At 36.4% G+C, this 24,430-nt stretch overlaps 1 long non-coding RNA gene across 1 annotated transcript in view, besides 2 other annotated features; it reads right to left on the reverse strand.

Moving 5' to 3' along the window:
- Positions 1-17,234, reverse strand: part of LOC101930028 (uncharacterized) — a 49,521-nt gene extending 32,287 nt beyond the window's left edge. Inside the window, exons 1-2 of the long non-coding RNA NR_188358.1 lie at positions 17,058-17,234; positions 16,376-16,506 (exon numbers count right to left, since the gene is read on the reverse strand). This is a non-coding gene — a long non-coding RNA (uncharacterized LOC101930028). The remainder of the gene's footprint in view (positions 1-16,375; positions 16,507-17,057) is intronic.
- Positions 21,944-22,942: an enhancer, noted in NCBI's record as "H3K27ac-H3K4me1 hESC enhancer chr4:189744366-189745364 (GRCh37/hg19 assembly coordinates)". NCBI's record gives its function as "activates a minimal SCP1, AML or CMV promoter by ChIP-STARR-seq in naive H9 embryonic stem cells {active_cell/tissue: H9 hESC(naive)}" and the evidence as "EXISTENCE:reporter gene assay evidence [ECO:0000049][PMID:30033119]".
- Positions 22,943-23,940: an enhancer, noted in NCBI's record as "H3K27ac-H3K4me1 hESC enhancer chr4:189745365-189746362 (GRCh37/hg19 assembly coordinates)". NCBI's record gives its function as "activates a minimal SCP1, AML or CMV promoter by ChIP-STARR-seq in naive H9 embryonic stem cells {active_cell/tissue: H9 hESC(naive)}" and the evidence as "EXISTENCE:reporter gene assay evidence [ECO:0000049][PMID:30033119]".

The following is a 24,430-nucleotide window of genomic DNA, read 5'->3' on the forward strand; positions in this document are numbered from 1 at the left end:
ATGACAGTTAATGCCAGGAAATTAACACTGGTGTGTACATACAATATATGTATACACATTCATAAGCTAGATGTAATATATTGAAGTCAGACAAATATGCAATACATAATGGAAGTCATTTCTGGTAATAAAGAAAAATGTACAATCTATGCATCAGTGCTGTAAAATACAAAACCAAATAGCTTGTGTAGCAAGAGGGCAAGCAAGAATTAGTCTTTGGGCAGAGGCCTCTGAGCCAGGTTCTCTGGGATATGTGTGTGTGTGTGTGTGTGTGTGTGTGTGTGTGTGTGTGTATATATATCTTCTCTAAAAATACAAATATATGATTATATATATATGCACACACAGTGTACACACATACAAGTGTATATATACACAATTGTGTACACACGTGTCTATATATACACTATATATGTATACATATATATAATTGTGTGTGTATGTATATATATTTTATTTATTTATTTATTTATTTATTTATTTAGATGGAGTCTTGCTCTGTTGCACAGGATGGAGAGCAATCTCAGCTCACTGCAACCTCCGCCTCTCGGGTTCAAGCAATTCTCCTGCCTCAGCCTCCTGAGTAGCTGGGACTACAGGCGCCCGCCAGCACGCCCAGCTAATTTTTTTTTTTTTTTTTGAGATGGGGTCTCACTCTGTCAGGCTGGAGTGCAGTGACGTGATCAAGGCTCACTGCAAGCTCCGCCTCCCGGGGTCAAGTGATTCTCCTGCCTGAGCCTCCTGAGTAGCTGGGACTACAGGCGCCGCCACCACGCCCAGCTAATTTTTGTATTTTTAGTAGATACGGGGTTTCACCATGTTGGCCAGGCTGGTCTCTGCCTCAGCCTCCCAAAGTGCTGGGATTATAGGTATGAGCCACTGCGCCCGGCCTTATACATTTTTTTTCAGATGTGATTGTTTTTCCCTTGAGATAAAAGTTAAATGGAAGAATAGGTAACAAATTACTTCAATTCACACGAAAATAAGAGAAATTTGATCTTTCTTTTACCATATAAGCCCCTTAACCTTCTGCTATGCAATTTATTTCACTTACCCACTGCAGAAACATTATTCTTATCACTATTAATCACGTTATTTTTGGCCATAACCCGGACACTTCCTTCCCTTTCAACTTCTTGCTGCGTGTCCACACCCTCTTCTCTGTCACACTTAGCCAGCATTCTGTCAGTACCTGGCTCAGGGGCCTCTGCCCCAAGACTAATTCCTGCCTGTCCTCTTGCTACTGAAACTATTCATTTGGTTTTGTGTTTTACAGCACTGATGCATAAGTTGTACATTTTTCTTTATTACTAGAAATAACTTCTATTATTTTTTGCATGTTTGTCTGATTTCTTGCAATAGATTATACATTGCAAAAATGTAGGAACCATTTCTTCTATCTCTCTTGAATTCTCCTAAGTGCACAATCAATTATGCATATGGTGAAGCCTAAAAGTGCTTGTTGAATATAGGCTGACTTTTGGCATTGGATGTAAATAGGGCAGTTATAGAAAGACATATTTGTTTTGAAGCCATTTCAAGAAACATATTTAATAGAAGTTTCTGGAATAATCCACATTCATTTAGAAAATATTACTCTTTGGCATAGACTTGAGAATAAATAAAAAGAGATCGAAAGTCGAGGGAAAATAGAATTAAAATGACCTGGAAAATTGAATCTACAGCTTTTGACCAAGATGCTAAAGAAAATTAAAGTCCAAAATACACGTATCTTAAAAATAGAAGGGAAAGTATAATAATCTGTTGGTAAAATGCAAAAACAAGAATAAAAACCCCAAACCCAAACTCTTGGAATATTCTTCCTGGGACTCCTGAAGACTGACATGTAAGAAGTCCAACTACAAGAATGCCCTTTGATGGGGTCCCATGTCAGCGTTTGGGTGGATTGTCCCACCTGAGCCCTGCCTTTCAGCCCTCTTGCTAAGTCCTCTGACAAGCAAACAGTACTGTGGTGGACCCTCCCAAGGAGGCCACACCTGCTGAAGATCCCAGGGCAATCCTGATCCACACCATGGGACAAGGATTGCTTTGTCAGGCCTTGTGCAAAATCCTGCTCACAATATTGTGAAAATAAAATGCTTGTAGTTTTAAGCCACTAAACTATGAGAAATAGTGGATATCAATTTAGCATAAGGTAGCAATGGAGTCCTTATATTAATAACAAACCATATTAAAAAGAATTTTATGATTGTTGCTGCATTACAGTAAAGACTAGGATATGAATATGTGTGCATATATATATGCATCATACATATGCATTTTTATTTTGCAGAAAATATTTAAAATAGTGCATAAAATCAGAAACCCTTAGTTGAGTGATTTGCTGTTCACTGTATTAAAATCAGGCAGTGACAGTAATAGTGAAATAGCTGCAAACAGATAAAATCAGTGGATTGAACCTAGAAAAGAAAATCAGGAAAATGTTCATCAATGTTGACAAATAGGCACTGTGTGAAGGGGCTTTAGACTGATTCCCTAAACGTCCACCAATATTGAGCATAATGGACCATGGATTTTTATATCCATGCCAAACTCACACACACATTTATGCTTATTTTATGTATTTATGTATTTATTTTTGAGACAGGGTCTCACTCAGTCATCCAGGCTGGAATGCAGTGGTGCAATCTCAGCTCACTGCAACTTTCACCTCCCAGGCTCAAGGAATCCTCCCATCTCAGCCTCCCTAGTAGCTGGGACTGCAGATACACACCAACATGCCCGGCTAATTTTTGTATATTTTGTAGAGATGGGGTTTCCCTATGTTGCCCAGGATGGTCTTGAACTTCTGGGCTCAAGCAATCTGCCCATGTCGACCTCTCAAAGTGTTGGGATTACAGGTGTGAGCCACTGCACCCAGCCTATACTTATTTTAATAGGCATTTTTGACCTTTAATTACACACCTCTCACACAGAGAACTAGAAATCCACTGGTCCTGGCTGTTTTCAGTGTGTTCTGAAAATCTTTTAAGAACTAAGGTTGTCAACTACATCTTTGGTTTCCCTGGGGCATTAGCTTTATCTAATATATATTAACTTTGTCCAAATTCAATGCTTCTTGTCATTACCTTGGGAATCTTATATCTTTATTCTGACGGACTCACCACTCCATGTGGTCATTTCTTCTTACTTGACAAAGTCTTTGCATTCATTTCTCATTTGGCTTGCAAGATAACAACTCTATTTTTGTTAGTTCAAAACAATAAATATCACTACTACTATCAGCATTAATATTTAGTCATTTTTATTTTATATCATATTATCAATTAGATACTTGAATTTGAATGTGACAGCATGGAAGCGACAGCAAAGACCATATGTTCATATAGATGGCAAGCAAAGAACCAGAAAGATCATGTGACTTGTCATGTCAAAGATCAAACAATTATCATACTGGAAAGCATATTCTAATGTTTAATTTAATTTTTAAAATTTAAATTATAAAGTGCTTTCTACATTTATAATAGTACAGAAAAGAATATAAACAAATCAATTGCTGAGGTATTTAATAGGAGATAATTGTCAATTTGTTTCAGATCTCTACCTTTAAGGAGGAAAAAAAGAAAGAGAAAGAATACTCATTTTTCGGCTCAATATTGTTTTCATAACACACTGCTGACTGTCTCACAGCTTGGAATTATTGCTGATGTTTACTCTTGTAAAAGGTTAATAGTAAGTTTACTTCTTAAAGGGCTTTCATCTGTTAGCACATTTGATTATCCCCATATACTTGGGAGACAGGGCATCTATTACAATCTGTGTTTTATAAACCAATGAGGCATAAAAATGTTAACAGATTTGCCAAAGATGTCAAAGTGATTCAAAGAGAACCAGCCAACCTCTGACTGCCAACCTGCATGAGCCCTGCTGCGCCTGGCTGCGTAATTCATAGAGTCATAGCTTAATATCTGAATATGAGAACACTATCAGGAGAAACACGTTTTGAATCACAGTTACAACTCCAATTTTTAAAGAATTTAAATCAATCAATAATTCTCCATCACGATAATTGCAAACTCATCTAGAAAATTGTAACATTCTCAGAGTGCGAAAAACTATTAAATGTTTATCTTAAACATAAGTTTATCCCTTTCTAAATCCATTCACATAGTATCTTTATATAATCATTCCAATAATCCTACAAAGCAGGAATTTGTGAGTGATTCTTTTACCAACGAGAAAGTGGAATAGCTGAAAATTCACGTTGATAGTGGCTTAAGTCAGTTGTCCCTGGTCTTGGCTGCACACTAGAATTATCTAGGGAGTGTCTAAAATTCTTAGGCTCTGCTCACATTGTATACCAAAAATATCAGAATGTCTGGGAGTCAGTTCCAGGCATCACTGTTTTAAAGAGCCTCAGGTAATTCCGGATTTCCAGTTTGAGAAGCATTAACTTAAGCAGCTGCTACACTGCAGTTACTTGGTCCTCCTCGTCTAGTGTTTCTTCCTCTACAGAATGAAAGTGCATCACAGATGATCCTTTATCTTTCCTGCAGATATCAGCTATAAGCAATTAAGAAACTATTTTACATTTAAGAAACTCTTTGCCCCTAATTTGGATTATTCCGTTCATGTGCGGTTAGAAAGAGATCCTTATGGAATGCAATCACTATGACATTTTTGACTCTATGTCAAATTGCAGGTGAGATGCCAAGGTAGCCACCTAAGGTGCTGGTCTTTAATAACTTCAGTTCTGGAAATAGCTCACCTTGTTCATGGCTTATGAATTTATTTTTGTTATGACAAAGAACAGAAACTTCTCTCTTTTTAACTTGGATTTTAAATCAAATGAAGAAACTTGGGACTCCCTCTGTACTTAAAAGACGGAAATAGGAAACTTGTGAACCAAAATAATAAACCTTGCTTTATCTACAAGCCACACATGCCAATGGAGTCTCAGATGAATCCCGGAGATCACAATACTTTCAGTTGCTGTGCTATGATGTGTCCTCGGAGGTACATCATTATCACCTGGGGCCCAGCTGGGGATTGCTTATTAACACTTTCCTGAGAAACCTCAGCTCATGTGGCTGTCTCATTCACAGATCATGAGGAGTGATTGGGAACCATGTAACCTGGACATTGTGTTCAAGAAACTGTATCATCATCACTATCATACAAATATTCACACACTAGGAATTGCACAGCCCACTTTCAGAAACAGGGACACACCATGCTCCCTTAATCTGGAACAAGAAATAGCAAGATCTCTGCTCTAGGCCTTCACCTCCTCAGAGAATATGGGTTTAGAAATGAGAAGCTGCTGAATTTGAATACCTTTATTTTCTACTATTATTCAGGGTCTCTGGTAGTAAACAAAGAAGTTTTGAATCTATACTATGCATAACCCAATCTCTCAAGAAGCTTCCTAGATTGCAGTGGCTTGATAAGGAAGGTAATATGTCGTACCAACACAAATAAATCATTTTTCTCTAAGCAATTCCAGAATAATTTGCCCAATTTTGCCACTTGACATCTTTTGGCTATTATATATTAGCAGGCTTCCCTTTTCTCATATTGCAAATATCATTAAAATCATCACGCACGTCATTGACCTTCTTATTTCTACATTGGAGAAGTCATTTAGATATAACTAGCACTGAATTAATTTGCTACTCAGACTAACAGTAAAGTTATTGAAAAGTGCTTTAAATGATTTAACAGTGCAAAGAAATGGATCCCCTAATTTTGATACCACAAATCTTATGTATTTTAATCAATCTAATGTTTTCATGAGTCAAATATTCTTCAATAGGAGAAAATTTTAACTGGCATTCATAAATAATTGTATGATATAATGAAACTGCTTCCAATGTCTTCCCTGATACAAGCTCACTTCTCAAATACCAGTGTGTAGACAAATGTTGTACATAAATAATAATTAAGTTTAAAATAAAATCAAGGTTTTCTGCACGGTATTTAATGTTCATATCCTTTTCTATGCAACTCACTTTGCCACCTGGTCCTCAAATGCCCCATATTAAGTGGGCACACATATAATGTTCAGAGAGCTTTGATTTTTCTCTGTTTTCATAGTGTTTAGTAAAAGACAAAATATATCTGATTTCAAAATGCTATTTTAGGCTCATGCTTGTAATCCCAGCACTTTGGGAGGCCAGGGTGGGTGGATCAGTTGAGATCAAGAGTTTGAGATCAGCCTGGCCAACATGGTGAGACCCCTCTCTACTAAAAATTCAAAAATTAGCCAGGCATGGTAGTGGGCACCTGTATTCCCAGCTACTCAGAAGGCTGAGGCAGGAGAATTGCTTGAACCAGGAGGCAGAGGTTGCAGTGAGCCAAGATCGGGCCACTGCACTCCAGCCTGGGCGACAGAGCGAGACTCTGTCTCAAAATAAATAAATAAATAAATAAATAAATAAAATATTACATTACAAGGCTACTATACTAATCTGTGATATCAACATTACTATCCTAATAAGCTGGTTTATAAACTAATTAATAATTTGGATTAAGATAGGATCACACATCTCCTTGCCTCACATTCCACAATATGACAAAAAAGATAAGTTTGAATATGGCAAATCCAGTGCAGAATGGGAAAACGATAAATAGTGTCATTAAGGCACAGACATTTTATAGGGTCTTTGAAAGGTAGAAAATGCACAGGGATCAAATCTAGGTAGAAATAAAATCAGAAGAAATATGTATCTAAAACAAGTGCTGAGGAAAGCTATTTTTAAAGCTACTGCTGGTGTGTGGAGAAGCTTAAGGTCTAGAATCGATGGCTGAAAGAAGTGGGAAGGACCATGGGAAATGTATCTTGATTAAGTGGGAGCTAAATTGAGAGGAGCTAGGTCATCTGACTTACATGGAAAATTATTCAAGTGAGCACTGGTAAAAGCATTCACGCTAAGCAGCAAATAGTGGTGCAATTACCCTCTGGTTATAACGGAAATGCAGGAACTGGAGCAGAGATCAAGACAATTCCCCAGGTAATTGCTGGTCACAGAAAGGGCAGGATCTCTCCGGCACAGGACCCAAGTCTCATCTTCCAGTTACCAGTTTAGACTTAAGTAAACATAATAGAAGGATGTAAAGAAACTGTGAAACATGAATATGAGTAGACAACCCCAAATACACAACATTGGAAGAAAATCAACACCACTGGAGGCGATGGATACTCCATATACCCTGATGTGATTATTATACCTTATCAAAATATATCATGTACACCATAAATATATATACCTACTATGTACCCACAAAAATAAAAATTAAAAACAAAACAACAAAAAAGCAAACCAATATCACAAAAAGTTGCCAATCTCAAGGACTAAGAAGGACTAAGATTCAGTGAAACACGTAAAGTCAATAGGGACTTGAGAAGAAGTGTCAGTAAGTGGTGTGTGTCTTCAGGGATATACAACAGGATACGTTCCTCATAATGAAGAAGCCATCACGTGATTTGGAAATTAAAATCTTTATTTTTTAAAGCTCAACAGATGCAGTAAATACCAGAATGGACAATCTGGAAAAGAAGATTAGTCAGCCAAAATGATTACATTTAAGAATTTTATTAGGTAAAAGGTGAAAGAAAAGAGGCACGTAAGTGATAAAGGACATAAAAGCTATATCCAGAAAGCTAACAATCTCTCTAATTGAACTTTGGGAAAGGAACATTGAAAGAATATGGGGGATGTGCAGGAAAAATAAGAGAAAGAAATACAGAATCCAAGTCCTTTGCTTTTTTCCTTTTAGTTCATTCTGAAAATTATCTTCTCTATATTAACATCTTCAGCATAGTTTGAAAACTTCAAATAATATTTATTTATACTCCTGATTGTTCTAGTTTTATAAAACAGTATAATGAACACAGTGGTAAAGCTGATATTTAGTTAAATTTCAGCAGTTTTATCTGCCTTCAGTTGACACTGTTATCTTGGTCTCAAAGGGCTGAATGTAGAATAATAGGCTGTCTTTAGCCAACACAGAGATTTTCATAAATTTCTCCAAATATAATCACAAACTTAAGATTCCAGGCAGATAAAATTATGATGGAAGGAAAAGAATAACTGGGAGTCCATCAATCAAACATAACCAATGTGCTGAGTAGAGAAATTTACATGCTACAAGGAGTGAAGACATTCATATCTTAACAAACACTTCTCTTTCTGCATCACGTAGTCTCATATTTTCATAAAATTAACAAATTAGCTTTTGCCCAAGGTAGGCAAGCTTTCTTTAAGACTCTTGAACCTGTTGTAAATATTTGTAAATAATAGGTCTCAATTTGTTTGTCCTGTGTCAATGATAAGTAACTTGTTATGCTTTCTTCTTATTACTGAAATCATGCTTAATATTTGATAGACTCTATCTATGGCAAATACTCCATATGGCAGCAAAGATCCATTCCTTCATTTGTGTTGTTAAGACTGGAAATGCCATTTCAAGTGTACGCACTAAGGTTTATAGCACAATAAAGATTTATTAAAACCACTCCACAGAGCCACGTTGTACAGAATTTATGAACTGTAAAACTGCTATAAAGGTCACTTGAGATGCAAAAGTTTAATTTGGAATATCATGTTATGGTACAGAATTGCTGCATTCAATGCTTGTTAATATAAATGGTTTAAAGATATTTGTCTCAGTCTGTGAAGTTTATGAACTTCAACAAAAATAATTTCATATTTTATAATATTTTACATAGATTTGATTTCTTTAAAGTTTTTCTACAAATCCATAACTCATCTCATCTGTAAAATAGTGAGGAAAATAGATACAAATTGGATCTTACTTTCAAAATTCACTGTTGTTTCATAGAGCATATTCCTTATCATTACTTAACCAACTTCTGACATTTACCATTTCATACCATTATTCATTCATTGCTTTTCTGATACCAAGAGCCTAAGGAATGGATAGCTTTTCAAGAGATATCACAAAAATGAACAAGATATTGAGCATTTATAACAGGAACATTGGGGAAGGCATTGCTAAAAGAGATTATGAATTATAATAGTGTCTGAATGTGTGATATTATATTTGTATATAGACAGATACATATAAAGTTACATCAACTCAAGTGAATACAATCTAAGAAAAGATTAATTATAGACAATTATAATTCTGTAGTAGGATGAATATCATACAATAAAAGTGTAATAAGATGCAAAGACAACATAAACAATAGGGAGCATTTTCAAAGTACATCTTCCAGCAATTTTTTTGTTGTAAAACAGTATAAACTGATTTTTCTATGTTTTGTTATGCATAAGAACCAATACTTTTTTATCAAAGATCAAGAATGTAGAAGCAGAATATTATGGAATGTATGTGAAACTTCTGAATAGCACCAGAACACGGCATAGCCATTCCCATGGCATTTACGTTGTAAATGTTAAACTATAAAATATTGTGCTCATCTCTCTATCAACTAAAACATTTGAAAATCATGGTTTCTTTTAATGTTAACCACAAAAGGATCATGGTATCATGTAATTCTATTCCTCCACTTTTTTATATAAGGATGGTAGAGATGTCCCCAAAATGTACAGGACTAGAACTTTCTGCCCACCATGAAAAAGGTATAGCTAACATGCTCTGCATACTTACGATTTACTGAGCATTTTATTAAATAATTCTTTGGAATTTTTCTCTTTCAACAACACTTTGTCAGAGATGATATTATTATTCATATCTTCAAGATGAGAAAAACTGAATCTTGGGGGTTTAAGTAATCTGCATAAGGTGACACAGGCACACAATAGTGGAGCTGACACTCAAACCCTTGAATGAACCACAAAGCTTATGTTCTTAATAATCCATTATCCTCTATTTTACTGCTTTCATGCTAGGACCAATTAGAGCAGCCCATGAGGATAGGCAAAACAATCACAGGTTATTATGGAAAATATAAACATTTCAACCGGAGAATTTTCTGTTCCCAAATATTCCAGACATGTGTCTACCTGAAGTTGTAGATCATGTACAAAAGAATGACAGAGTTCAGTTCATTCCTCCAGTTCTAGTGTTCACTGCACATAGTCTCCCTCTCACACAGCCCAGTGCACACAAACAGTGTCTTCATGCTTTAGTAGATCTCTCTTTCTTTGGTTTCCTATTCCAGGATCATGTTTCTCCATCAAACACAACCAACCCAACAAACAATACTTACCTTTCTGTTTGGAGAAACCCAGAATATACATATTATATAATTATATTAATATATATATAATAATATTATATAATTAATAATATTATATAATTAATAATATATATTATAATTAATAATATATATTATAATTAATAATATATAATTAATAATATATATTATAATTAATAATATATATAATATTATATAATATATAATATATATAATATAATTATATATAATGTATATTCTGAGTGTGTATACATATATGTGTGTGTATGTGTAGATAGATAATTATATAATTATATTATATATATTATTATATAATATAATTATATAATATTTAATATATATAATATATAATATATATAAAATATTATATATTATATGTATAATATATTATATAATATATTATACATATAATATGTATATTCTGAGTGTGTATACATATATGTGTGTGTGTGTATGTGTAGATAGATAGATACACTAAGAGGTCTATGATTCATGTCACAAACCCATCAGGGTCATATGTTGCTTCTAGAGAATGTGCTGTACACTACATCATTATGGGTCTCAATTTATCCCTACCTATACCCCACATTACCACTCTCTTTGAAATCTGATCCCATCTAATATTAGTACTCATTTCTGGAAGATATTTTTTGCTCCTCTTTGAACTGTAAAATTTCATTAAATTTTTCTCGCTAAAGTGTAAAACAATATCCATAGACATTTGTAAATGGAGTACATTTTTGTGCCCTCTTTGTATGCTCATTTTCACTGACCTTGCCTGCAGTATAGAGCTGTATAATGATACACCAAAATGAGTGAAGATAAGACAGATAAATTAGGAAGATTAAGATTATCTGAGACAGATCATCTCTGTAATTTAAATGATGAGCTTTAAAAAACTCTAGACAGAGGGTAGAATTGTTAGCAGTTAGTACACTTGCTCTGATTCAAGGAAATAAGTTTAACTCAAATATTCATAAATCAGAGTGGAGTTAAAGGGTTGTGGCATAAAAGCAGGGTGACATAGGAGAACTAACCCAATCACGGCCACGAGAAGAAGTTCTTCTCTAGCTTCTACCAAGTAATACTTCATCCTCATCCTAGACAGACGGGTATCCAGGCTATGCTAGCTGTATTGCTTTTATCATATACAATTAGTAGTGTGTATAGAACTTTACTTATGACATACTGTAAAGGTAACTATACTTATCCTCTAATTATAAATACATTTATTTTCAACTAGTCTTTAAGTTATATTTTTAAGGTTTGGATTTAAAAGTAAAACTTTAAAGTGTATTACAGTGAGGCACCAAATTTCCAGGAGCTAATTAATGATTTTGAAATGTGCCTGGTGTTGGCTGAGTCGACAGCAACACTCTATGGATGGGTGGTTTGTGGAGGAATTCTGACTTGAGAGTACAATAGCACTCAGCAATAAATCATATTAGTTTCAGTCAACTCTAGAGGCAGAACAGACCTAAGAACATACACAGCATAGCAGCTCCTGGGTGCTGCTGGAGGCCCTCATGACAGAGACAGACCAGTGGGATTGTTTCAAGCAAATTCTAATCTGTTTCTATATCCTGTCTGTATGTCTGTATAAATAAGATATAGATATGTCACTATCAAATATATTTCTCAACACAAATTTCATGCTTTCTTCTGTTTTTAAAACAGAGCTGTTGTAACTATTTAATTTACATAACTTTAAAGCTTCTATGAAGCTATTATTGTGACTGAATACACAGGCAAAAGACATAGTTGGCTCAAAAGAATCAAAATCCAATGGAAAAGAGTGTTTCTTAGACTATTCGTTTTAGATGAGAGTCTTAATTCATAATTTTACTGCAGAAATAATTTGGTAGGTTTAAGAAAAATGATACTAAAGGTTACTTTCTATCAAGAACTATACAAAGCATAAAAATTATATTTGTTGACCTGAAATCACAGAAAGATTAACAACCTAAAATTTCATATATAATACCATAATGTCTGCGCAATCCTGCAAACAGCTCTTTCCTCCTACCTGAGAGCAACTTGCCATACTGAGTGTCCAATACATTTTTTCAAGTGGTAAATTTATTTGTGTGTGTGTGCGTATGTACACAGGTGTGTTTATATAGTTTAGAAATAAAGTTTGCCTATATGGTAAACAATTTCTGCTAAGCCATATAGCTATGACCTATATTCATATTTTAAAAAAAACCCTTAGGAAAATAGAATACACAATTTGAACTTAGAGTGTTTATAGTTTCTCATACTTTCAAAATTCTCAGCATGGCTTATAGGACATTGCAGATTTGGTTTCTGTCTTCTTTTCCAACCACATCTCCTAAAACTCATTGTCCTCCACCCTTCATGCATTCTATACAGCTAAGTTACTTTTCAATTCCTTGAAAAGTGCCAAACACTTTCCTGCCTTAACTGTAGCACACATAGTATTGTTTGTGCTCTGAGTAATTTTCAAATATTTATAATATTCAGAATATTATATATATAATAAACAAGTTTGCTAATACGTGAGGGAATAGGACAATGTAAAGGATGACCAAAATGATTTATAAAATAATCAACATAACCATTAGAAGTTAAATATACAATCAAAATTTTAAAATAAGAGGAAAGATTTAATAGCAGATATGACATAGTTCAAGAGAAACTTAGTGAAGTGGAATAAGATATACAGAAATTATTCAGAATGCAGTGAAGAAAAACGAAAAGATGAAATGTAAAAGAGAGCTTAAGAAACATGGAAGAATGTGTGAGAAGACCTAACATACATATAATTGGTGATCCTGTTGGAGAAGAAAAAGGAAGAGAGAAAGAATGGGGCTGAGGATATCTTTGAAATTATAGGGACTAAAAATTTTCAGAAGAAATAAAAAAACACAAAGTTTAAACAGCTCCAATATGTACCCAGAAAGAGTTTAAAATATCAACACAAAAAGAGATCATAATGAAGGAGTAAACAGAGAAAGAAAATATATTAAAATTAGCCAGAATTAGAAGATTGTTTCCATTCAAAGGAGCAAGAGTTAAACTAGAAGCTGGCATTTTAGCAGAAGTAACAGAAGTCTGAGAGATACCTTCATTGCATTGCAGAGAATAACCATTTACCCAGAGCCTTTACCAGGAACCAAGTGTCTCTCAAGAATGAAGTCAAAATAAAGACATTTGTCGGGAAAACAAACTGATAAAACTTATCAACTGCAAACTTTTTCTAAAGAATATTTTAAAAAATGTACTTCAGGCACAAGGAAAGTAAATCCATAAGGAAAATCTAACAAGAAAAAATGAAAAGCAAAGAAATTAATAGATATATTTTAAAAATTAGATTATAAACGATACAAACTACAACAATAACATTTTGGGAGATTAGAAAAATGGAATTAAAGTATGTGTCAACAATAGCACATTCATTGAGAAAAGGTTGAATGAGTTAAATGCTCTCTATAGTTCAAAACAATAGAACAAATGTTCATTAAATTTAGATTTTGTAAAGTGAACAACCTACAATCATCAGTATAACACTAAAAGTCTGAAAAATGGAACAATTAACTTCTAAACTTATAGAGGGAAAAAATGAAATGAGAAATAAAAATACCCAATTGTAATTGCAATATTAAAATAAAACACTTATTTTTGTAATAGGCACTGCTATAAGAGCTTTATCTACATTAACAAATGCAAGCCTCCACTGTCACAGTTTTAAAAATATATAAGGAATATTAAAAAGAAAGGCAAGATAGAAAAAAACAAAGCAACGATAAGTATGAAAAATAGAAATTAAAAGATAGTGAATAGAAATTCAAATATATCTGGAGCAACAAAACTGTAAATGCACTAAATGATTCAACTAAAAAACTAAGATTGTCAGACTATACTAAAGCACAAACAAGAAACTGTGTAATGCAAAATTGTACATTTTACCTGAGACATCTTAAATTAAAAGATACAGAAGGGATTTTACAAAAATAGAAAAATTTATACTAGTAACATTTTTACTAAAACAGAAGTGGCAGAAATACATTATCAGGTAATATAGACTTTAAGAAAAAGGCTTGACAAAAATAAATATGACCATTTCACAATCCCAACATTTAATGTGCCAGTAAGGTGTATCAATTTAATGTGGAGCACTTAAAAACAAAGCTACAAATGTGAAAAATTGAAAACTAAGAGCAGAATTAGTATGATGTACAGCAGGAAAAATTTGAGTAAAATTTTTGAGTGTTACATAAAATAGCCAAAAATCACTAAGAATATAAAAATTCACTAAGACTGTAGAAAGTTTGATAAACAAGACCAAAAAACTTGACTCAATATGTATAAAATATTGTGCAAAATAACTAAAGAATACACATCCTTTAAGCCCATGGGGAACATATAAAATTTGACTGTGGTGAACCATAAAGGAAGCCTCAATGATTTCAGTATTTGAAATCCTGCAGCTCCTATTAAGCTCAAATCAATAACAAAAAGATCACTTAAAAAATCTGCGTCTGTCTGGAAGTTCAGAAGCATACTTTTACGTCACCCAGACAGTTTTTTAAAAATTATCATTGAAATTAGATTACATTTGAATTAAGTAATAATTAAAATATAATTTGATGCTATTAAATTACAATAATCCTGCATATGTAATCTTATAGATGTGGCTAATGTAATTCACAAAGGAAAATGTTAAGCCGTTAGTGCTAATATTAGATCCCCATAATATACTATATGTCAAACAGGCTCTCCTGGAGCTGCCTACATTTTTTTCAACCCCTAAAATCACAAAAGTAGTTCCTAGAAAGTCATAAAAGTGACCTTAACATGCTAGCAATGACAATTCCATTTATGGATTGGATATTATGTGCCATTCAACAAGTGTGGGGGAGATTGCTGTTTGTTCTACTAAATGTCTGTTCTTCCCTCTTGTCTTATTAATAGGACTCTAACTCTCTCTCTTTTTTTTTTTAGCAATAGGTTTTCAGTATAAAGACTCTATTTTCCACCATCCCTTGCCATATGTTTGGACCCTGTACTTAAGTTGAGGCCAATGGGTTGTGAAAGTATTGAGAAGGAGCTTGTGGAAAGCCTTAAAAAAGAAATCTCAGCTGGTGTGCACCCTCTGCATGTCTAAGTAATTCTGATTTAACTGCTGGAGCTGCTGTCTTGACCCATGGCCATGAAAGTTATTTCTAGGGACAGCAGAGTGCTGATCTGGAAGGAACCTGGGGCCTAGCAACTTTGAAGCCAGCATGCCCTGTACGCTTACATCTGTACTTTGTATAAGAGGGAAATAGGCTTCTGTCATAATTAAACAGGTATTTTTGGTTTTCTGTAAATGTAGTCAAATCTAATGGATATATTATGCTCTGTGCTTCACATATTTTATTTAGTCTTTATGCATGCTCATGAGGTAGGAATTACTATGCCTATTATGTTTATTTTACAAATTAGGAAATAGATATTTCAATTTTCATTTTAATTTCCTGGAGTTAGTAAGCAGAAGAGCTGAGTTTTGAATCTAGGTCAGTCTGGCTCCTGCCTTATGTTTTCATGGGCTAATCTGTGAGGTTTTATATAATCATGCATTCTGGGGACCTTATCAGTGCCTGAAACACTGCCTAGCTCTCTGTATACTACCTTATATGCAGTGGATTTTAGTAGGTATTTGTTATTCAAGTCATCTACCGCCATGGGTTGACAAGGCTTAGGCAGAGGGAAAGGGGTATCTGTGGGGAAAGGGAGTGTGGAGTAGGCAGATATCACTGCCTCTCCTCTCACGATGAAAGGGCTCCCTAAACATGTGATGTCAATTCACTTAGGTACAAAATCATGGCAAAATTACAACAATAGTGGTTGGATGAAAAGAAGGATAAAGAAATGACAACACAATAAAGGAAAAAATGCCCTGAAAAATGAATTAAAACTGCCAAGTTCTTCTTGTACCCATAGAATATTTGTCTTTTTAAGAAAATTTTAACTCTTGGCTGATTTTCAACTTCCAAAAAATTAGATCTTTTTTTTAAGTACTTTGTTGTGTACTTAAAACTTTAAAAATAATATTGCAGATAAACATATCTGTGTAATCTCTACCTCTAGTCAAAGGAGTAAAAAGCTAGAAGAAAAAAAAAATAACCCACACAATGAGAATGTGAGAAGTGACAATAGCAAAGTAATTATTTCAGTGAAACTGCAGAAGATGGAAAACAGGAATAAAAATGTTTTCTCACTTACCAGAAGAGAGGAACTTTCAACTCTTGGAAGGAGGGTGCTGACAATGCCCAAGCCTCCATTCTGGAGAAGCCATGGGATCTCAGGTTTCTAGCATCGGGGCACTGCAAATAGAGACTCAGAAGCAAAGGAAGCTAGAGGAAAGGCAAAAAAAAAAAAAAAAAAGTCATCGAAACAGAAAGAATTGCAAAACAGAGAAAAAGGACAGAGAGCAAGAAAATGCTTTAAAATAAAATATGAACAATTTGTACTTTATTTTTTTTTTAAATTAATTAACTTTTTTTGAAATGGAGTCTCCCTCTGTCACCAGGCTGGAGTGCAGTGGTGCAATCTTGGCTCCCTGAAACCTCCGCCTCCCGGGTTCAAGCCAGTCTCCTGCCTCAGCCTCCCGAGTAGCTGGGACTACAGGTGCCTGCCACCACGCCCGGATAATTTTTGTATTTTCAGTGGAGACAGAGTTTCACCGTGTTAGCCAGGATGGTCTCCAACCCCTGACCTCGTGATCCGCCTGCCTCGGCCTTCCAAAGTGCTGAGATTACAGGTGTGAGCCACTGCGCCCGGCCAATTTGTACTTAAAAAAGTCAATATCCGTGAGACATAGTGCCTGTCCATTATGTTCTTCAGAGAAAAATAGAAGAACTGAAATATAGAAATTATTCAGAAAAACACACAAATTTCCCATTACCTAAAAATCTCCAGACTGAAAGGACGCAGAATGCCCAGGACAATAAAACAACGAAGACTGTCTCAGGAACACATCCTGGGATTTCAAAACACTAGTGATGAATTTAAATCCTCTAAGTTTGCAAGCACTGGCAGTGTTGGGGGCAGGGCGCATTGCAGAACAATGGCGTGCAGAATGACGTCAGAATCTGCGCCACCATAACTGGATTCCAAAATGGTGGAGCCAAGCCTTCAATCCCTAAGGAAAAGTACTTTTAATCCAGAATTCCACATGCATCCATACCATCATTTAAGTGTAATGAGAGAGTAGAAGTATTTTCAAATATCCTAGGGTTAAAATGCATACAACTCTTATGTTATTATAGACTATGCTTTAGAACAATTATTAAGGCAAGTAGACTTTGGGAAAGAGAATATCCAACAGAGAAACCGGCCCAATATTAGAATAGATTAGTATAGATGGGAACAGTGGGTACAAGAGGGAGGTCTCCAGGAAATGAAAAATTCATGAACAGATTAGTGATATGAAAAAAATTGAGAGTAGCTTGATGATGACTTATGAGGTGAATAGTGATAAGTATGTAGAAAACGAAGTGGATGGAAAAACATTAAACAATTTAATAAAGTGAAAAGTAAAATGATGGTCTATAAAATAATATTTATGGTTTATATTAATGAAAACACTGTTTCTTGCTTAAACCAAAATGTTATGATTTTATAATATTGAGCTGTGTGAAGAAGTTGTGGGATGGCATCAACAATTTTCAAAAAAAAAGTGAATAGATGATGTTTAAATTGATCATTTGTTCCACAGGCACATGATTTTAAAATATGGAGTCACCACACCTTGAATATTCAAAACTTTTTAAATTGCTTTGTAAAAAATGTGCAAGACTTACTGTACTACAGTTCAGCATGGTAAATGGTTTTGCAAAAAGCAATCAATTCTGATTAATTTTCTCATTTGCATGAGTGCCAATGCATTTTCTTTCTCCCTGTGAATCACCACTCAGTGATACCATTGACTCTCAGAGAAAACCACTTAATGAAATTTTTCATCGAGTCAATTCTTTGCTAATAATGAAAGAACATATTGTCATGAGCCAGGCATGCATGCTTTGCCAAAATACTTCCCTCCATCATATAGGCCTTAGTTATCCAGGACACAAAAATGAATTCCTAGTAGAGTCTAATAATTTCATTCTACTGATTCATTCCTACTGTCAGTAACCAAAGACAGTTTTACAAAAACAACAGTTACCCACTGAGAAGGCGTAATACATAGCTCTTTTTCCCAAGAGTTTGCTAATGAATGCAACTGTGATATGATTTTACTTAATTATGATAATTTAGACATGACCCATAAGAAAACTACTGATTTAAGGAAAGCATTAATTTAGTAATATATAAAAATGTATGTTGATGAGAATAAGCTTTATATGTAACACACCTAACCAGAAAGGAAATTTTTCTAACATTATCATTTGATATGTTTGTCAGTATTTTTCCTATGTTGAAAGATCAGAATTCGAAGAAATGTAACTGAGAAATTACACTTCCTTGAGTATTTATTTCAGTGCCGAGATAATTTAATTTTCAGTTTCTACTACAAGTGGTAGTAAAAAGAAAATTTTATACATTTTCCTATAAACATTTCCTATATTATTTTCTATCATTTAGTTTAAAATGATGCAATCAGAAAAGGAAGTGCTCCTCTAATTGCCTCTTACTATTTTTTGGAGCCAAATTTTAAGGAAACATTTTTGTTTATATCTCATCTTGACTTCATTTTATTTTTATTTAAATACATTCATGGTGTATTTCTTCCATTGCACAGAGCATGGATGTCTCCTTTTAGAAGCTTTATTTCAGATGGGTAAAATCTACTTTATAAAAGGTAAGGTCACACAGCTATGTGGCTGGAAAGAAATGGATAGGTACATGTTGCTGGGAGGTACGTGAAAGAAGGACGAAAGAATTGCCAATTACTTTATTCTTCATTTAAGTTATTTTATAACAATGATATGGTTTTGCCTTGTTTTAGGCATTGGTTAGGGTTCTTCCCCTTGAAAGCGATGACCTATACTGGCAATGAAAATAAATTGTTAAAATCTGACATATTTGAGAAGTACTGATAGACCTTTATTTATTAATGCCCACTAGTGACTTATAACAAATGTGAAATTGCATATTTAAAGAAATAAACATCATATATGTAAAATGAGAGCTATTATGTGCTGTCTGGGTTCCATAGCTAACATTCTTTAGTCTTTGTCTTAGAATAGAAGAAAGAAATGGAATTCTAGAGCACACAACTAGTTTAGAGGGGTATTAGTGAATTAAAAGAAATCACTCACAAAAGTATATCCGATGTGTTTGGAGTCTTTCATTCTTTCCAGGTTCGGATCAACTATAAAGCTTGTGATCAACTCTTTCCCTTAGCTGAGTCTTCCTTACTGTGATCTCTTCCCAAGGAGGTATACTAAGAATTATTTTAGTGGCTCTTGAAGGGTAGGGTAGTGGGAATGGTTAGACCAAATCTGGCCAGTAAGGGGTGAATTGTCTGAAGGTAATTTAAAATGAGTAACACCTGCTAAGTGCCAGCCAGCTTCTTTGTATCATCATGCATTGGCAATGCTCAACAATGCCGGTGATAACGCACTCCTCCCTCCAAGGCAGATGCTCCTCACTGCCCTGCTCTTGTACAGCCAAGTGACAAATAATTGGAAAAAAAATACTAGAGCTGAACTATCTACATGGATTTTAATATCAGACTCCTTTTCAAGTTACATAAAAGCCTGCCTCTAGATTCTCACTTATTAGACACTCAACAAAAATATGATGGACTACTATGCCTGGTATTGTCCTCAATACCGCAGACACAAACATAAACCAAAGCTCCTGGTCTTATTTATTTGTATAAGACAGAGGGAGACAAAAAAGAAGTAAACAAGTAAATACGTAGTGTTGGAAGATCATGTTTAACTGAAGAAAAACAAAGTAGGGTAATGGCATAGAAAATACTATAATAATAATGTGTATGAAGCGATTTCTGAAGAAATTGACAATGATAGACAATTGATAGACAATGATCATAAAAGATCTGGGACCACAGATAACAGGACATTTAAGCAAAGACCTGAAAGAAATGCAGGATCGTGTGGCTGATTGATATCGGGCGAAAGGGATTTTCAGGCAGAGGGAAGAGCAAGAGCACGGTGTTGACATGTGAGCATTCCAGGTGTGTTTCAGGGAGAGGAAGGAGAACTGTGTGCCAAGCTGAGCCAGCAAGTGAAGGAACTGGGGGACCAGGACACAGAATCGGCAGCAGGGTGGTCAGCCAGGCTTCATGTCATGTTTATCACTCTAGATGGCATCAGAAGCCATTGAAAGGTTTTGAGGAAAGGAGTGAAATCATGTGCCTTCTGTTTTATAAAGGTCAGTTGTATATATGTTTTGTAGGTTTTACGAGAATTCTGGCTAGTGTGTCGAGTATAAACTTTAAGAGGCGAGGGTAAAAGGCCATAGGAAACTATTGTTTGGAGCTCGGCTGCCTGTTTTGAGAACCCCTAGTCACATGTCACTCTTGAACACGTAAAACGTCACGTGTCTGAATTGAGATGGGCTCTAGGTGTGAAATTCACAACAGATTTCCAAGACTTAATATGAAAAGGAAGTAAAAGACCTCAATAATTTTTAAAATTTAGTAAATGATGAAATAACATTTTGAATACTCTGAGTTAAAATACATTATTAAAAGTAACTTGGCCTGTTCCTTTTTTCTTTTTAATGTGGCTACCTGAAAATTGTATGCTACACACCTGGCTTGCATTATATTTCCAGAGAGAAGAGACCAGACTCTGGATATATTTAGAATGAACAGCCAAGAGAATGAATTAAAATAAAGTTTGAAAGCATAGAGTCAAGGATGAATACAAGGTTTTTTGTCTGAGCAACTTGGAAGCTAAAGTTGACATTTTAAGATCAAGATGAGAAGATTAAAGGACCAGATATAGGAAGAAAAATCAGAAGTTAAGTTTTGAACATGTGAAGTCAAAAACTTTTATGAAATCTGAAAAGACAGGGCTGTATTTTATGCTCATCTCATTATCACACTTGGCCTCCACTTTTACATCAGAGAAACTTCACATCCCCTCACAGTCTCCCCAGGTATTTTTGTCTGCTCTTGCTTTGTTGTAAAGGTGGCATGTTACTCTCTCAACTGCAAATGCCATCCCTCTACTCTGAGCCCTCACGGCCGAGGGGGTCACAGTCTGTGGAACAGTGAGACAACAGGGTGGCATTATGTGTGTCAGAGCCTCACAACGGTTTCTATAAAACCCTTCTGTAGGATACAGTCCACAGTTTTCTATTACTGGAGCTCAAAGGTGATCTATTAGGACAGGCAGGGCAACAGTGTGCTATGTTATTGTATGTGAAGGTGAGTCCGGTGAAGCCACAGTAGAGGACATCAGAAAGGTGCAAGGAAACCCAGATTATCACACACACAAGCCCTAAGGTCAGGAGGCACCACAGGCCACCTGGCTCTGGATGAGTAAAGGCAAAGGAATGCGGCCTCCTGGGGTGGAAGGGCACAGAGGCAGGGCTCTGGATGGATCAGTGTGCACAGGAAAGGCACACTCCACTCTGAGTGCTGGGACATCTCTGCAATTGCCTAGCCCTGGAAGGGGCATCACTCCCAGGCCAGTGATGTGAAAAGATGTGAAAAACATCATAATATACAGAAAATAAAAATATATGCAAAACACAGATCTATTACCATCTTGATGTTTACTTTAGGCATGCCCAAGTGTCCATGAACAGAATTATAACTGTTCTTCCAGTCTCACCTGCAAAGACCAAGTATATCAAAAAACGCACACACGTACACACACAAATACACAGACAAGGAAGTACACACACAGAAAGAATTACAAGGACAAGAAGCTACACAAAAGAAAGCACACATAAAAGGAAGCAGATTACAAAAAGCACACACAGGGATGCACACACACACGGAAGCACAGACAGAAAAGGACACACAAAGGGACGCACACACAGGGACGCACACACAGGGACGCACACAAACAGGGATGCCCACACAGGGACACACGCAAACGGGCACACACACAGGGACGCAAACAGGGATGCACACACAGGGACGCACACACAGGGAAGCACACACAGGGACGCACACACAGGAAAGCACAGACAGAAAAGGACACACCCTGGGACACACACACACGGATGCGCACACAGGGACACACACATAGGGAAGCACAAACAGGAGGCACACACACAGGAAAGCACAGACAGAAAAGGACACACAAGGACGCACACACAGGGACACAAACGGGGATGCACACACAGACACACACACAGGGATGCACACACAGGAGGCACACACACAGGAAAGCACAGACAGAAAAGGACACACACAAGGACGCACACACAGGAATGCACACACAGGGACGCACACAAAACAAGGAAACAGACACAGGGATGCACACATAGGGAAACCCAAAAGGCAGCATACACAGGGACACACACACAGGGGAGCACACACACAGGGACACATACACGGGAGCACACACACAGGGACACACACACAGGGAAGCGCGCACACAGGGACGCACACACACAGGGAAGCAGACAGAGGGAAGCACACAGAGGAATGCACATACAGGGACGTACACACAGCAAATAACACACAGAAGGACGCACACACACACGGACACACACACAAGAAGCACAGACAGGGACGCACACACATAGGGAAGCAGTTCCACAGTGAAGCATACACAGGGAAGCACACACACAGGGAAGCACACACACAGGGAGTCACACACACAGGGAAGCAGACACACAGGGATGCACACACACAGGGAAGTACACACAGGGAAGCAGTCCCACAGTGAAGCACACACAGGGAGGCGAACACACAAAGGGAAGCACACAGGGATGCACACAGGGACGCACACACAGAGGGATGCACACACACAGGGAAGCGCACACAGGGAAGCACACAGGGAGGCACACACACAGGGAAGCAGACACACAGGGAAGCACGCATAGGCACACACACAGGGAAGCAGACACACAGGGATGCACACACACAGGGAAGCAGTCCCACAGTGAAGCACACACAGGGAGGCACACAGGGACACACAAAGGGAAGCACACACACAGGGACACACAAAGGGAAGCACACACACAGGGACACACAAAGGGAAGCACACACAGGGACACACGCAGAGGGAAGCACACACACAGGGACACACACGGACGCACAGACACGGGCGCGCACACACAGGGACGCACACACAGGGACACACAAAGGGAAGCACACACAGGGACACACACGCATAGGGAAGCACACACACAGGGACACACACAGGGACGCACAGACACAGGGGCGCGCACACACAGGGACGCACACACGGGCGCGCACACACAGGGAAGCACACACACGGGGAGCACACACACAGGGACACACACACACACAGGGAAGCAGTCACACAGGGAAACACTCCCACAGTGAAGCACACACAGGGACGCACATACAGTAATGGGCACATTGTATGGGTCCCAAGCTCTTCAGCAAAGCCCAGACTTTAAACAGTAATAAAAAGCTCCACTGAAATCCTTCGTTGCATTTGGTTGAAAGTTTTTTTGTATATTTCCTCATCCTCCTCTGCTGGTGGTTTTGTCTTCAGCAGAGGTGTTCCCTCCTGTATTCTATGCTCCAATGCCACAGAAGATGAAACCTACATCAAATGACCCTGATTCCGTAAAGTAAGCGTGAGGCTGAGAATCTGTAAAGCTATTTCCAATGCTTCAAATGATGCGAATATGTAACCTCCTTTCAAAAGATATATAGATAACCCTCCATTTGGATTTTTGATACATTATCTTAATTTCCATTTTTGTTAAGAGCAGCAAAAAGTATTTGCGACTATCAAGAATGGTTTACATCACAAGACTTTAGTAACTAAAATATATGAGCTATATTTCCATTTATGTGTCTCAGACTTTAAATGTGGCAAAATGTGTTGTAATTGAAGCTCCGATTTTGCCTCCTTGTCAACCGTGATTTAACAGTAAGGGGCCTGCTAGCTGTGGGTTAGCATGGAAATTAACTCACCTTGCAGGCACTTTCCAGTGAAAAGAATTACAACGCAAGTAGTAGACTGAATATTTAGTTCATTAGGAGCAATACTGTTTGAAATTCCTATTCTTTAGTTTTCATGATGACATGACTTATTTAAAATATGGTTTAAGAAAAAGTGACAAAAATATTTTAATTTTTTCAGTTCACTTAATTCATGTTAATCTTATAGCAAACAAACCACTTGATTCCTGGAGCAATTATTT

This window comes from Homo sapiens, chromosome 4 (genome assembly GCF_000001405.40).
Source record: "Homo sapiens chromosome 4, GRCh38.p14 Primary Assembly".
Taxonomy (NCBI): domain Eukaryota; kingdom Metazoa; phylum Chordata; class Mammalia; order Primates; family Hominidae; genus Homo; species Homo sapiens.